Source organism: Homo sapiens, chromosome 12, assembly GCF_000001405.40.
Source record: "Homo sapiens chromosome 12, GRCh38.p14 Primary Assembly".
NCBI classification, from domain to species: Eukaryota; Metazoa; Chordata; class Mammalia; order Primates; family Hominidae; genus Homo; species Homo sapiens.
The window spans coordinates 53948815-53962202 of NC_000012.12; the positions used below are offsets into that span (position 1 = coordinate 53948815).

General features: G+C 56.2%; 1 protein-coding gene and 1 long non-coding RNA gene across 2 annotated transcripts, besides 2 other annotated features; one reads left to right on the forward strand and one right to left on the reverse strand.

Annotated features, from left to right (window-relative positions):
* Window positions 2728-3315: an enhancer, noted in NCBI's record as "H3K4me1 hESC enhancer chr12:54345326-54345913 (GRCh37/hg19 assembly coordinates)". NCBI's record gives its function as "activates a minimal SCP1, AML or CMV promoter by ChIP-STARR-seq in primed H9 embryonic stem cells {active_cell/tissue: H9 hESC(primed)}" and the evidence as "EXISTENCE:reporter gene assay evidence [ECO:0000049][PMID:30033119]".
* Window positions 4571-7613, reverse strand: LOC105369775 (uncharacterized). Its single transcript, XR_944977.2, has 3 exons — window positions 7528-7613; window positions 7077-7153; window positions 4571-5465 (listed from the first exon to the last, which is right to left on the reverse strand). It is a non-coding gene; the product is annotated as an uncharacterized LOC105369775 (long non-coding RNA).
* Window positions 6089-10142, forward strand: HOXC12 (homeobox C12). The gene is made up of 2 exons (NM_173860.3): window positions 6089-6725; window positions 7514-10142. The coding sequence occupies exons 1-2, from the start codon at window positions 6116-6118 to the stop codon at window positions 7750-7752; spliced, it is 849 nt and encodes a 282-aa protein (NP_776272.1). The 5' UTR covers window positions 6089-6115; the 3' UTR covers window positions 7753-10142.
* Window positions 12609-12833: a silencer, noted in NCBI's record as "fragment chr12:54355207-54355431 (GRCh37/hg19 assembly coordinates)". NCBI's record gives its function as "represses an EF-1alpha promoter that drives an FKBP-Casp9 reporter gene in an ReSE screen in phorbol 12-myristate 13-acetate-treated (for megakaryocytic differentiation) K562 erythroleukemia cells {active_cell/tissue: K562(+PMA)}" and the evidence as "EXISTENCE:reporter gene assay evidence [ECO:0000049][PMID:32094911]".

Below are 13388 nucleotides of genomic sequence, written 5' to 3' on the forward strand. Positions count from 1 at the left end.
TGGGGACTCTATGAGATAGTTCATCTCTTAGTCATGTCTCTAATATGTCTTTCTCTCCAAGGCCAGCCTCCTAGTGTTTGTGTTAAAAGTAAGACTAAGTGTGAAGGCAAATATGAGGATACCGGGGGTACAGGGTGATCTGAATTGCTGGTGAAACCTCTGTGAGGAAACGCAGACACACAGAGGGGCTGAGACTCCTGCTATCTTTCTCATAATCTGATGGTACTCCCCACTTCCCCTATCTCCCTAGGCCAGAGCTGGGAGGCCCAGGCAGCCAAGGGCCTCACAGGACTCTCCATCTAGTGGTCACTCTCCGGGGCTGCCAGAGAGGGCTTCAAGAGATTCTTTGCTGAGCTTGGGGGAAAAACCCTTCCCCACCCACATCTTAGTCTCCAGACAGAGGCCCAGCAGAATGGGCCTTTCAGCCAGCAGTCCCACAGCCGGAACCCAACTGAGAGAACAAGGGCAGCAGTTCTTTCCGCAGATCCCTCCATGACTGTCTGCTCCAGAGACCATCTGCTCCTGGGGTTGATCCACAGGCGGCTGGGTGAGCAATGTGGGGACAGTAGGCCAGTGTGGGTGCAAGGCAGGGGCAGGCCCCTGGGGCAGCCGCTATCTCTCTGAACAGCCCTCCTATTGGAGGTGGGGTCCATGCGGCAGGCAGCCCCTTCAGTGGCTCCATCTGTTCAAAAGAGAACTCCCCACCCTAGGATCTGCTGGGATCTGTGTTGGGTGGTATTGGAGCCCACCCCCAAGAAAACTCCAAGAGTGGTTCAGGCAGATGTATATCTAGACCTGCACTGGTGGAGAATTGAGGGGCCCTGGGGAGCTAGGGACTTCTGGGAGGAGGAGGAGGGGGCCAGAGCCTTTTCAAAACCAACCAGGCTCTTCCTCTTTTAGCCTTGACCGTGACTAGGTCTTTCTGACCTTGACATCACAGGGAGCACAGGGAAGGGGGGGGAGGGGTGGAAAAGGCCTTGATCTTCCGGTGGCCAGCGAAGGGGAGGGCTGCTTGCCCCCTTGACGCGCCATCCCCCTTCCCGCAGGAGCCCGCCGCCTCTGTTTACACACAGAGGAGGTGTCGTCTCCAGTCTAGACAAGGGCGCTAATAACGCCCATAAAAGGCGGCCTCTCCAGAGATGCTCTGGCAACTCCGCTCCCGCGCGCCTGCCGCTGGCCGCTTTCTCCACCTCCCCCCGCCCCGCCCTTCTCTGATACCTTGGCGAGGCCGGCGCACGGGCCTGGGGACGGGGAATCCAGAAGGCTTCTAGAGGCTGAGAATTCCTATCCCTCACCCTTATGAACCTCTTCTGTCTCCAAAGGTAAGTGGACCCTTGTTCCTGTCCGCGCTCTCCCAGCCTAGCGAGCCCCGGGGTTGGTAGTCCATTCCCCACCCCCACCTGCCTCCTGGTGGGGCCCATTGCTCCCACCCCAATCTGCCCAAGCCCCTTCCTCTGCCCGGAACTGGGGCCCCAGGTTTGGAAAGCAGTTGTGTAGCGGTGCTCAGCAGACCCTAAGCAGATCTCAGCTCCTCCCCAGAGCTGGGCCGGGCCAGTGGACAGGGTCAAAGCCAGAAAAGGAGGCCGAGGGGTGAGGGCACACCGGGTAGTCCTCACCCCCACCCAGCTTAGAGGTCGGTGGAGACGATTCACTGTTGCATTGCAGGCGGCTATGGGTGTGGCATTTGATGTGATTTTTTTTTTTAACTTGGTTCCCACACCTTCCCTGACACTCAGTAATTCACTAGGTGGAGGAGATCCTCTGCTGGTGGAGGGGGAAAATGTCAGAGCTGCGGCCCTATTTAACTGTTAGCGCGCCACCGAAGGAAACACAAAACGGGGGAAGGTGGTCCATTTAGGGATGCTCAGGTTGGGGTGGAGAGATGGCCTCCCAGATGTCCTTGCCTGGGGGCTCTCACTTCCCCCGCATTTTCTGAGAGGCAATCGGGCTGGAATCTTTTGGTGACAGAGGACTAGAGAAGCCGCGGGAGAACTGGAGAAGGTAGGGGCTCCGTTGGCCCCAGGCTACTTGCCTGAGCCTAAAAGCCTTACTGGGCTCCGTCACTGAGCGTTCCTACAAGCCTCCCTCCTCCAGGCTGCAAATCCCTAGAAAGCAGCACCTGGGGAAGGGATTTCCCAATCTGCTCTTTACCTCCCGGGCACCGGCAGGGAGGGCTGGGAGCCAGGTGGGCCCCAACCCCTGAAGGAGCCTGGAAGCCATGAAATAGGAGACTGAGCTCCCTACTCTACCCCCCAGCCTTGTTTGAACCCGACAAAAGTCAGGTCCCAAGCCTAAGTTGCCCCGAAGGGGCAAGGCAGACAGGGCTGCAGGGTTGGGCGGGGGGCAGGGAAGGGGGCAGGCCCTCCCACTCAGCCCCCTTCTCATCTTCCCTTCTCTCCGCCGGCCAAATCCCTGCTCACACCCCTGCTGGTGCTGAGTCCCGGCCTAATTTGCATACGAGGCAGAACCGCTTTCTGCAAACTAGACAGTGACCTTGAACTGGGCCGCTGCGGCCTCTGGACAGACCAGGGGTAAGGCAGCACTGCGCGGAATCACTCCCGACCACGGGTCGGCGGGGGAGCCAAAACGCAGTCACTCACAGCCGATTCCCCGCGGTCTAAGCCGCCAGCAGCCACGTTGCCTCTCCCACCAGAATCAGCGTAGATTTTATAATTAACTCCTTTCGCTGGGCTCAGCCGCAGTGGAGGCTGCTAGGATGCAGGAGGGATGGAGGCACAGAGAAGGTGTGAGAGAGGCGGCGGGGCATCCAGCTGGAGGACGAGCTGAGGGACACAGGCTGCCTTGGTCTTCAAGGAAAGCCTTGGACCACATCCTTGCTTTCAGCTTTAATTAACCCCGAGTTAATGAGCGAGGCTTAGTAGAGCCTGGCCAGCTGCGGCGGGAGCCAGTGGCCCAGGGGCCAGCAGGCAGGCCACCGCTCTAGCCTTGTGATCTGATAAATGTACGGGAGAGTTCGCACCAATCGCTCCACGGTTTGGGTGCCTCGGCCTGACCACCTATAGTTTTGCGCATGGTCAGCGAAGTGCCGGCGGGTTAAGCCCGGCTAGACACGGCTGCCCCGACTCCTTGGGATGCGAGTCCCTCGCCCAGCCCCAGCCTGCTCCCGGCGAACAGCTCTCGCCGAGGCTGGATTTAGATTTTAAGCGTCTCACCCGAGCCTCCCGCCGGCCCCGGGGACCCAGACTGGGAGCTGCATTTTTGTCCGAGCCCGGTTAAAAAACGGGTGCCTGAGTTGCGTGTGTCGCGGGGTTCCTTAACCACAAACGGAGCCTCGGTGGTGCACCGGAAGGCTGGACGCTTAGATTACCTGGGTCCTTGCCAGAGTCCTGAAAACCCCTAGGTTCCCGGTGGGTCTCAGGGAGCAGGACACCGGGGATGCGAATTTTGCTAGTGGTTGTCGACAGCTCTCCCTGAGAGGAATCAGGGTCAGCTGCAAAGAAGAAAGAGGGGTTTGTGCGTGCTTCTTTGCCCGCCGAATCCAAAACCTGGGGAAAACGGCCCTCTTTGATGAGGCTAAATCAGGCTAGAAGAAATGCGTGCCTGGAAGAAGGACGCCTTCACCCAATCTTCATTTCTCCTGCGTTGCATCCGCCGCCCTGTGGCCGCTGCTCCTCACGCTCAGCGGCCTGGCCTGGGAGGGCAGCGAGCAGAGCTCCCGGCCTGGGAGTTGCCTGCTGGGGTGGAGGGAATGGGGAGAGGCTGAGACCTTCCTCTTGGGGTCCCTCTTCTAGGAGATTGGAATTATCTGGGAAGGGAAAAGAGAATGAGGAGAATACTCCACCCCTCAAAGGCTAGTGATTATTTGGCAAAGCCCAGCTCGGCATCCCTCACACCAACAATAGCGGCTGAGCGCAGAGGCCTGGAGAGCCTGGGCGCAGACCTAGCTGCCCGCACGATGTTCTGATTGAAATCAACAGCAATATTAATGTCACACCCTGTTTATCTTTATGACCAAATTAACCCTCAAATAAAATGTTTTTTAAAAACTAAAATTTCAATGGCGCTCATCAATGTATCTTGAGAAGGGGAAATAAGATGTTACAGATGCTGTGACCTGGAATTTGCAGCTGAGAGATGCTCCTCTCCGTAGCCTCCCAGCCCCTTATCAGTTAGGCACAAAAAGGCCAATCCAGGCTGAGTCTCCTGCTCATTCCTTGGCGCCACCGGCTCTAACTGAAGGTGGCGGCTTCGGGTTTGCAGCCCATGGCTTGCCCTAAGTTCCGACAAGTGCGCCTAACGCGGGGCCGGCTCCTGGGGGCGGGAGGGGCTGGACCAGGCCGGGCAGCTAGGCAAGCAGGGGCGGGGAAGGGGAACCGGCCAAGCAGGGCAAGGGACAGGCACCGAGCTGCGAGCTTCGAACTGCTCCGGGCAGGGCGGCGCCCGCGGGGACACATTTCTGTCGGAGTGAGCAGCTACGGTTTGGGATATGAAATCGCCCGGGGAGCGGTGGAATTCAAAGAATCTGCGTTTCTCTCTGCCGCGTCCTGCAGAGGAGAGAGGGGAGGGAGAGGAAAAAAAGGGAGAATCTTCTCTGCTTCGATCTGCTTTTGCAGCTTTGGCTTATTCTCAGGCTTTCTCTGATATTTAACTTTCACCTAAATGGGTTTCTTTCTCATTCTCTCCGAATCTCTGTCTCCAATTTTCTTTCAATCTTCTGGTATTTTTTCGTATTTAGACGTTTACTGAACTATTTATCCAACCCTGTATTACTTAAGCCATGCATTGGTTAGAAGCTCGAAATAATCACATGGAAATTCGAGTGTTTTTTCTATTAGACCCCAAAAGGATACATCTGGTTTGGGGGAGTTTTATTTTGTCTTTCTTTTTAATCCGCTTGGCTGTGTTCTGTGGACCTAGTTGAGATCGGATTGTGGTTTTGCAGATGTTGATTATCTCACCAATGGCCAGCATTGCTTCTCGGCCTTCTCTGGAGGGAGCTTCTGAGTTTGCACCATAAATATAATTTCACCCCCCAATAAGATAATTCTTCAAGGGTTTTTTCCCTCAATCCTAGCCCCCTCAGGAGGCAACCTACTGCGGGCCTCTGCACTGCTATCTGATGGTCCCAGGGGCAGGCTTGGCCGGTTCTGGGGTGCAGTTGTCTCCTCCGCAGTGAGAATTAGGCCCCTCTCAGCCCAGTCAAGCCCTGTTAGGGGTCCAAAGCTTCCCACTGCAAAGACTCCAGGAGGCCCCCAGAAGCTCCTCAGTTCCCCGGAAATGACAGCAGAAGAGTAGTTCGCCCCCAGATTTTCAGGAGCAGGCAGGCAGGTCCATGTGGAGCTAGGCACCTCCTTTTGCTGCATTCTCTACCTCCCTTCCGCATCCTTCCTCTAGCCGTGAGTGGAGGTGTGAGGCTGGGTGGCTCCCGGCTCCAGAGGAAAACCCGGCATTATCAATTATCCTTGAGTATTGGGGAAGAGGACTCCAAATGTCTCTCCAAATTCCTGAGGATAAAGAGCTGATAAAGAAGTGTGCAGCAGCAGCTGGGGCGGGAAGAGATAACGGCAGGGAAACCTGTCCTTACCCCCACTTCGCCTCTACTGTAAATAAACCCCGAGCCAAAGGGCTCATCCGTCTCCTTAAACAGTCAGTAAACTTTATATGACACAATATCTAATAGTAATTTATTGAGGAGATATTGTAAATTCCAACGGTTTTAGTTAATAAAGAAGCTAATTAAAGAGGGACAGGCTGTGCTTGGCCAGCTGTTGGCGATAAGATAATATATGGGGGGGGGTGCAGGTTATAGGGGTGTATATATGCGGGCATTTTTTGGTGTGTGTTTTTTCCCTTTTGCCCCGTGTTGGGCAATTGCTTTACTCTCTGCGTTAGGTTATATACATTGTTTTAGAAAATCAGTTCAGCAAATAAACCTGCCCCCGCCCTTTGTTACCCCACTCACCCCCAGGATTGGGGAAGGGGGAAGTTAGAGTGCGGGATGGGATGGTGGGGGGGGGGGATCGGTTGTCCCCACCCCTCCCCCTGGCGGCCGTGCCCACGTGAGTGGGGCGGCCAATGGGTGACTGGTGCAGATTTAACTATGTTTAATGTCAGATAGCAATAAAGTAGAAGCTGCCGGTCGGGCCCCGCGGAAATGGGCGAGCATAATCTCCTGAATCCCGGGTTTGTGGGGCCGCTGGTAAACATCCACACGGGAGACACCTTCTACTTCCCCAACTTCCGCGCGTCCGGGGCGCAGCTTCCCGGGCTGCCTTCGCTGTCCTACCCACGCCGCGACAACGTGTGCTCCCTGTCCTGGCCGTCGGCGGAGCCGTGCAATGGCTACCCGCAGCCCTACCTCGGCAGCCCAGTGTCTCTCAACCCTCCCTTCGGCCGCACGTGCGAGCTGGCGCGCGTGGAGGACGGCAAGGGTTACTACCGCGAGCCGTGCGCCGAGGGTGGCGGCGGGGGCCTGAAGCGTGAGGAGCGCGGGCGCGACCCGGGAGCCGGGCCCGGGGCAGCGCTGCTCCCGCTGGAGCCGTCGGGGCCGCCTGCGCTCGGCTTCAAGTACGACTACGCGGCGGGCGGCGGCGGTGGCGACGGCGGCGGCGGCGCAGGACCTCCGCACGACCCGCCCTCCTGCCAGTCGCTGGAATCCGACTCCAGTTCGTCCCTGCTCAACGAGGGCAACAAGGGCGCCGGCGCAGGCGACCCCGGCAGCTTGGTATCGCCGTTGAACCCCGGCGGCGGGCTCTCGGCCAGCGGTAAGGACCCCGGCCACTCAAGCGGCGGATTCAAACCCGACCTCTTACCAGGGCGGGCAGAACAGGACTGAGCTAGGGACGCCCAGGGTGACAGAATGTGTGGCGAGGAAGAGCTTCTTATAAAATGAAGTGCGGGTGGGGGGAGCCTATAAACATGTAAACATCCCCACAAAAGAAATGGAGAGTGTTCCTTTTTCGTCTGCCTGCGGCTGGAGGCGGCAGGGATTCCGGAGTTGGGGGATCCTGACGGGGACTCCCCAGGCCTGGGGGTGAGGAGGTGGGGACAGAAAGCCCGGCCCTAGTTCTCCCAGGCGCCTCTCCCTCCACCTTCCCACAGACCCCATTACTTACATTTCGAAAGAAATGCCAGTGGATGCGTTTACTCTGCCATTCGCCCATATCTGTTGTAACTGATCCGGGATCCAGTCCTGAAGGATGTGAGAGGAAGGGACCAGGAAATAGGGAAGAAGAAAATTGGGGAGAGGTTTGGGAAAAAAGGAGGGGATAGGGACTTAGAAGGGTCATGAATAGTGCAGCAGGAGGTAGGGTTGAGGAGGTAAGAGCAAAGAATGAAAGGAAAAAAAAGAGTAAAGAAAGTGGGGGAGTTGGTGGGGATGTGGGTCTGGGTAGAAAAGACGATTCAGATGACTGGCGGCAAGGAGAAGGGAGAGAAAGGGCCTGGAGTCCAGCTGTGAGGCGAAGGTGAAAGGGTCTGGGGAAGGGCCAAGGGCACTGGACTGGTCACCCTTTGATCCTTTGGCCAACCCCTGCCATTCATCTCCACCCAGGCGCGCCCTGGTACCCGATCAACAGCCGCTCTCGGAAGAAGCGCAAGCCCTATTCGAAGTTGCAACTGGCAGAGCTGGAGGGCGAGTTTCTGGTCAACGAGTTCATCACACGCCAGCGCCGGAGGGAACTCTCAGACCGCTTGAATCTTAGTGACCAGCAGGTCAAGATCTGGTTTCAGAACCGGAGAATGAAAAAGAAAAGACTTCTGTTGAGGGAGCAAGCTCTCTCCTTCTTTTAAGGTGCAGGACACGGGCGCCAGCCCCAGACTGAGCCTGTCCCTGGCAGAGAGCAAAAGAGGGCGCCGCCTAGAACACAGTCCCCACTTAGAACGCCAGGCGTCTCTGGCAGGCCCTCCCTGGATATCCTCTTGTCTGTTTTGTTCGTGGTTCCCTCCCATACACACCCAAAACACCCTGCCAGGTCCCAGAGAGAAGGGAAGAAACCTAGCCAGGGAGAGCAGAAGCCGGCAGCTGCCTGCGGTTGGCAGGGGCAGGAAGGCTGAGGTGCTGCGGGCTGGTTTATTTGAGGCAGGACTGGGGCACTGCACCTCCGCTGAGGATCTGGAGAAGCAGCGGCCCAGATGTCCCCTTCCTCTACTTCCCTTCCATGGTCTTAATTCTCTTTGCCGTCAGGAGCAAAGAGCAGGGCCAGTGGAACCAAGGCACCTCAACCTCACAGTTCCTGGGGTTAGAAGAGGCTGGGAAGAGAGAGGAGGGTGGAGGGTCAGCGGAGAGAGCTGAGGGAGTCAGGTGTCTCTGGTAGGGCTGGAGGAAGTGGGGAACCAAGGAGGAAGTGTGGTTTGTGAGAAAATGATTAGCAAGAACCAGAGTCTGCTTGGGTCTGGGTCCCCCAGGACACCCAGTGGGCAGAAGCTTGGGCATTTGGCTGGCCGGGCTGTGGACAAGGACTATCAGCCTCATGTTCCCTCTAGGACCAGAACAGTGTCCTGGTCCCCAGCCCTCTCCTGATCCCGCTGCCCGCACCGGGCGAATGTCTGTTCATAGGTGTGCTGCCATCCACTCCTCCGTTGCCTGCGGTGGCTGCAGGCCTGATGCAGCAAGCAGGGACCTGAGAGCCCAGGGGACACAGCCTCAGGTTCAGTAGCCACCCCAGAGGTCCCCAGCTGGCTCTCCAGAAAGAAAGTGCAAGAGGCTGTAGATGGGGCTACGGAGCACCACACTGATTGGCCGGGAGAATTTCTGACAGCCACAGCCGAGGCCTCTGATTCTCCCTTCCCCGCTGGCGTTCACGGTCACTGCCTCACGGGCCGGCCAGAGGGTGGACCAGCGTAATTTACGAGGCGGGAGGAGAATTCACCCTTAAAGGGGCTACCAGCCATTGAGGTCCCACTCAGCCCCAGTTTCCCAGGCCCGTGAGAATGAAGGAGGGGGGCGCTCCAGCCCCCCACCCAACTCCCTTCTCTCTTCCTCGCCCGCCCCCCAACATTGCCCTTTGTCTTCAGAAGGGCTGCCTCCGCCTCCTGGCCTGCAAACCTCCACAGCCTAGCACATGGACCAGAGCAGAGGGAGGGGCACAGCCCTAGAACCCATTGGAGGTCTGAGAATGGCTTCTCTGAGTGGGAAGGACTTTCATCCAGACTCCTTCAGACCCCAGCCCCAGCCCAGTAGACGCTGGGCTGGCTTGGAAGAGAGGAGCAGTGAGAGAACCATCAACCTTTCTGTACTTCATTTTTATCCTTCTCCCCAAGAGTCCCCCAGCCTCCCATCTGCTGTCCGGCCCTTTCCAGGAGCAAGAGGGGTGAGAAGCAGGGCACTGATGGGAGTTAACTGCAGCCTGGACAGTGTGAAACTGGCCTGCTGGCTTGGAGTGTTTCCCATATGGGGAGAGTCTCCCCTAACAAACTCTCCAAAGGCAATCCACCGAGCTTTTTACTCTCCCACCAGCACACAGCTTCTGTACAGGCAGAGGCAAAGGCAAACACATACACACAGCTGAGCCCAGCACAGCACTGGGCCCACCCCACTCTCCCTAGTGCACTCGCAAGCAGGCAGCCTCATAATCCCCACATGGCCCAGCAGAATGGAGATAAAATCACATGCCTCCATCCCCCGCTGGGTATCTGACACCTGACAATTCCCCATCCACACATACTTGCTTCACCCATGTACAAGTTCCCCCAAATTACCACCATTCCAGCTGTCTGCAGTCTCCTGTGGTCTTCCCCTGGGCATGAAGCACTCCCCACCTTGACTGGTCACCCACTGTACCCCCTTTATGCAGCCCTTCCTGTGACCTCTGGGCTCTAGGGTGCTGGATTTGAGCTCTACCACTCCAGACTAACCTGATTCCCAATCTAATAATGAAGAGGGACCAGAACACTCTAAAAGGAGTGAGGGGACAAAGATATGCAATATTCTCTTTCCATTTGCTTTAAACTTGACTTCTGTGAGGTTCTCTGTCAATCTGTGTCTTGTTCTCTGTGTCTGTCGCTGGTACCTAGTGTAGTCCCTGTGGATAGTTGCCCTTCCCCTAGCTGCCTCCCCAGCTCTCTGTAGTGTAATTCTCCTATTCCAACGTCTGTCTTTAGCACGTTTTCCCTTTATATAGTCCTTGTACAGAGTTGCTTCATCATATTAATATTGATAATAATAATAATTAAAACATGAATTATGATTATGTGATTTTTTGAAAACAAAAGTTCTACCCCAAAATAATGGGAGTCCCAGCCTCTTAGCTGTTCTCCACTTTATTTTCTCCAGCTCAGGTGAATAATAAAAATAATAAATGTGTAATAATAATGAAGGAAGAGTGGTTGCAGGGGCAACAAAAATACATAAGCAACCAAGATCTGTTGATGAGCTACCATCTCCAGTCCCAAGCAATTATAGCAGAGAGAAAATTGGGGGGTGGCAGACTTGGGGGAGGAGAGGGAGCTTTGAGAAGTCATGGGGCCATAAAAATAATGTGGACAGCCTAAAGGAGGTTGAAACCAGCTTCAGAAAAGGAGGTCTGTGCTTCAGGAACTTGACAAATAGAAGCCAGGATAGGGGCACTGGTGAGCTGAGCTGGATACTGGGGCAGTAAGAGTAACCCATAATCCCGGGGCTGAGATGGAGGGGGGTTGGTGGGCCTAGAGCTTCAACCGTGTGGTCTTAATCCTATGGCTTCACTCTGAGATGACGCTTGTGTATTGCAAGATGTTGAGAAGGGGCTAAAGACCCCTTGGAACTGGCAAAATAGGCTCCACCTTTTGAAGCCAGCGACTCCCTCTAGCCCATGCCAGAGGAAAGCCCAGGCCCAGGCCAGTGGTAGAGTCCAGATGTGCCCATGAACCCTCTGCACCTCCACCTACCCCTTCCTTTGGTAAGACATGCCCTCTCTCTTTCTTACCCTTTTGCCTCTTCCCTCCCCTCTCTCCAGTTACCTTTTCTAACTGTAAAGCTCCTATCAAAGGAGTCTCCTCCAAATTCCTCTTCCACCCTCCTGTACCAGAATCCTAGGGGCCCCCACCAAGTCCAGACTCTGAGCCACACCTCCTGCCCTGAAATCTCTCTTTCCTTCCCCTTTTTTATTCCTATAATTAGATAAACTAGCGAATTTAGATCAAATACCATTCTCTTTTTTACCCCTAATCCCCAGTTGCTTTGCGAAGCTGAGGAGTACGGACAGGAAGGAGACCCAAAGCCTTAGGTTGCTCATATAAATGCCCCACAGAGTGCAGCATCGACCGAAGACGGGCAGCTTGGGCAGCCATGAGCTGGGGGAGGGGCCTGGTGTTTGAGCCTGGGTCTGAATAGAGGAGGGTAGGAGGAGTCAGAATACCAGGAAATCAAGGCAAAAGAATATCTGACTCTTATGACGTGTCTACACAGGAAGGGTCAACAATAGGGACATCTCTGGCAAAAGAAAAAGGAGGACTTAGGAAGGCCGCAAATAACTGGCCTTTAATTTATTCCCAGAGATACTCCCAATTTGAGAGAGAAGGCACCTAGTTGGGTGGTGTCTCTGCAGGTCCAGAGACTCAACGCAAACACTGGGGATGTTGCCAGAGAAGGATGTTGCCTCCTTCCTATGACTGAAAAACAAATCGTTGGGTCTCCCGGCCAAAGAGGAGGTCACGGTTGGAACCGCGATCCCAATACTTAGGTCGCAGCTGAGCTCTCCATCTGGGTGAGGATTTCCTCTATGTTGCAACTATTTGTCCAGTTTTAGCCCCCAAATTACAATGTACTCCACTAACTTTAAGACAAAGCACTCCGTGTCTCTCGCCGGGTTTTGAGGAGCAAGAAAAGGGAAGAAATATCCAGATAATTTAGGTAGACAATAATTCTGCTGTTGTGCGTGTATAAACTTATATCCCCCGAGTGAGTTCTGTATTTGGACCTGGTTATTGTTGCAGTTATTCTGCTCCACTCTGACGTGCACAGACGAAATTGAGTATTTAAAGCCACTAAGCCGCTATCGAGCCGGCAGGTGATGGGTCCGGCCGTCTGGGTTCTGTGGGTGCTAATGTAGCCGGAAATCCGGCGCGATCGATGGCTGAGACCCAGAGCAGAGCAGGGACCGCTGGCCCCGGTCCGCGAACAAAGCAAACTCCGGGGACTTGGGGTTCCGGCCAGGCCGGAGCCCCTGCCCACCCTCCCTGCTATATCCAGGAAAGCAGAAGCGGTTTTTCGGCCCCAGGCCGCGCGAGAAACGCACTCTGGAGCCGCCAATCCTCTCTGCATGGCACCTGGAGGCGCGGAAGGTTCCGGTGTAATTCAGCGGGAGGTGGAAGGCAGGCCCCGATCCCACAGCGCGCCTATGCTCAGCCTTTGGTCCGAGCGGCCGCCCTCCTGCGTGTGCCTCGGTCCAGACGGCGCTGCCGATTTTCCAAGGAGAGGCCGTGGCCCGCGTCCGCCGCTGCAGGACTCCCCAGCTTCGCCCTCCGCTCCGCGCTGCAGCCCTGCGCGGTGCTCTCGGTTGCCACTCTAGCCGAGGCCTCGAGACAAAGACGCGCCGGGCACTGGTGGACGACCCGGGCGCCTGGGACACTCCCTGACTCGCGCCTGGAGTGCTCAGCATCCCGGCCCTGTGGCGAAGGTTGTGAGACCTTGGTCCAATTCCCCGACCGTCGTGGTCCCGGCTGCGGTCCTCTCCAGGGTCCAGGGAGAGGAAACCCGGCGCGCCCACAGCCCCGGCTGACTCGAGCAGCTCCCGCGCCCGACAGCGCCGGCAGCTCTGGTCTCCTCCGGAGGGCTGCTGTGCCCCCGCGAAGGACGAGATGACCCCTGCTGGCCGGAGCTGTGGAGGTTGCCTCGCCGAGACCCGGATCTGTCCAGTCGCTCGTCCCTGAGCACCCTAGGCGTTGGGGGGACGCCCTGTGAGTGTGAGAGACCTCCAAGAGCGGCTGGAGTCTGAGGCGCTGGCCGGGCTTCGTGAATTAGACCTTTATCCTAAGCTCCTTCCCTCTGCCGGGCACTCGGTGTCCCCACAGCAGCTGACCGCCCTCCTGCCCGGCTTCTCATCGCTAGAGGCTCTGCCCTGGAGGCTCCTAAGACCTGTGCCGCCCGCTGGAGCCTGGCATAGGAGCCAAGAAACTGGGCCTCGACAAGACCAAACACAGCTGGACCTTTAGCCAATCTAAACCAGCCCGTTGCCAGCAGGTGATTTCTCTTCTTCCAGCCAGAGCCACTTAGGAGGCAAGTCTTCACTTTGTCAGTTTACCTGGCCCAGAGTGGAGAGCTTCCTTCAAAGACAGGTCTGTGAGGATGGAACCCCCCAGCAGCCCTTGCTTGGGAAGCTCTCTGTAAAACGTGCATAGTCCACATGCAGAGCATGGAAAAGATGTTCCATAAAGCACACACCTGGTCATAGTGCTGCCAATAAATTGAAACACAGTCTAAAATGCACAGATATCTCTATTATGGGTAC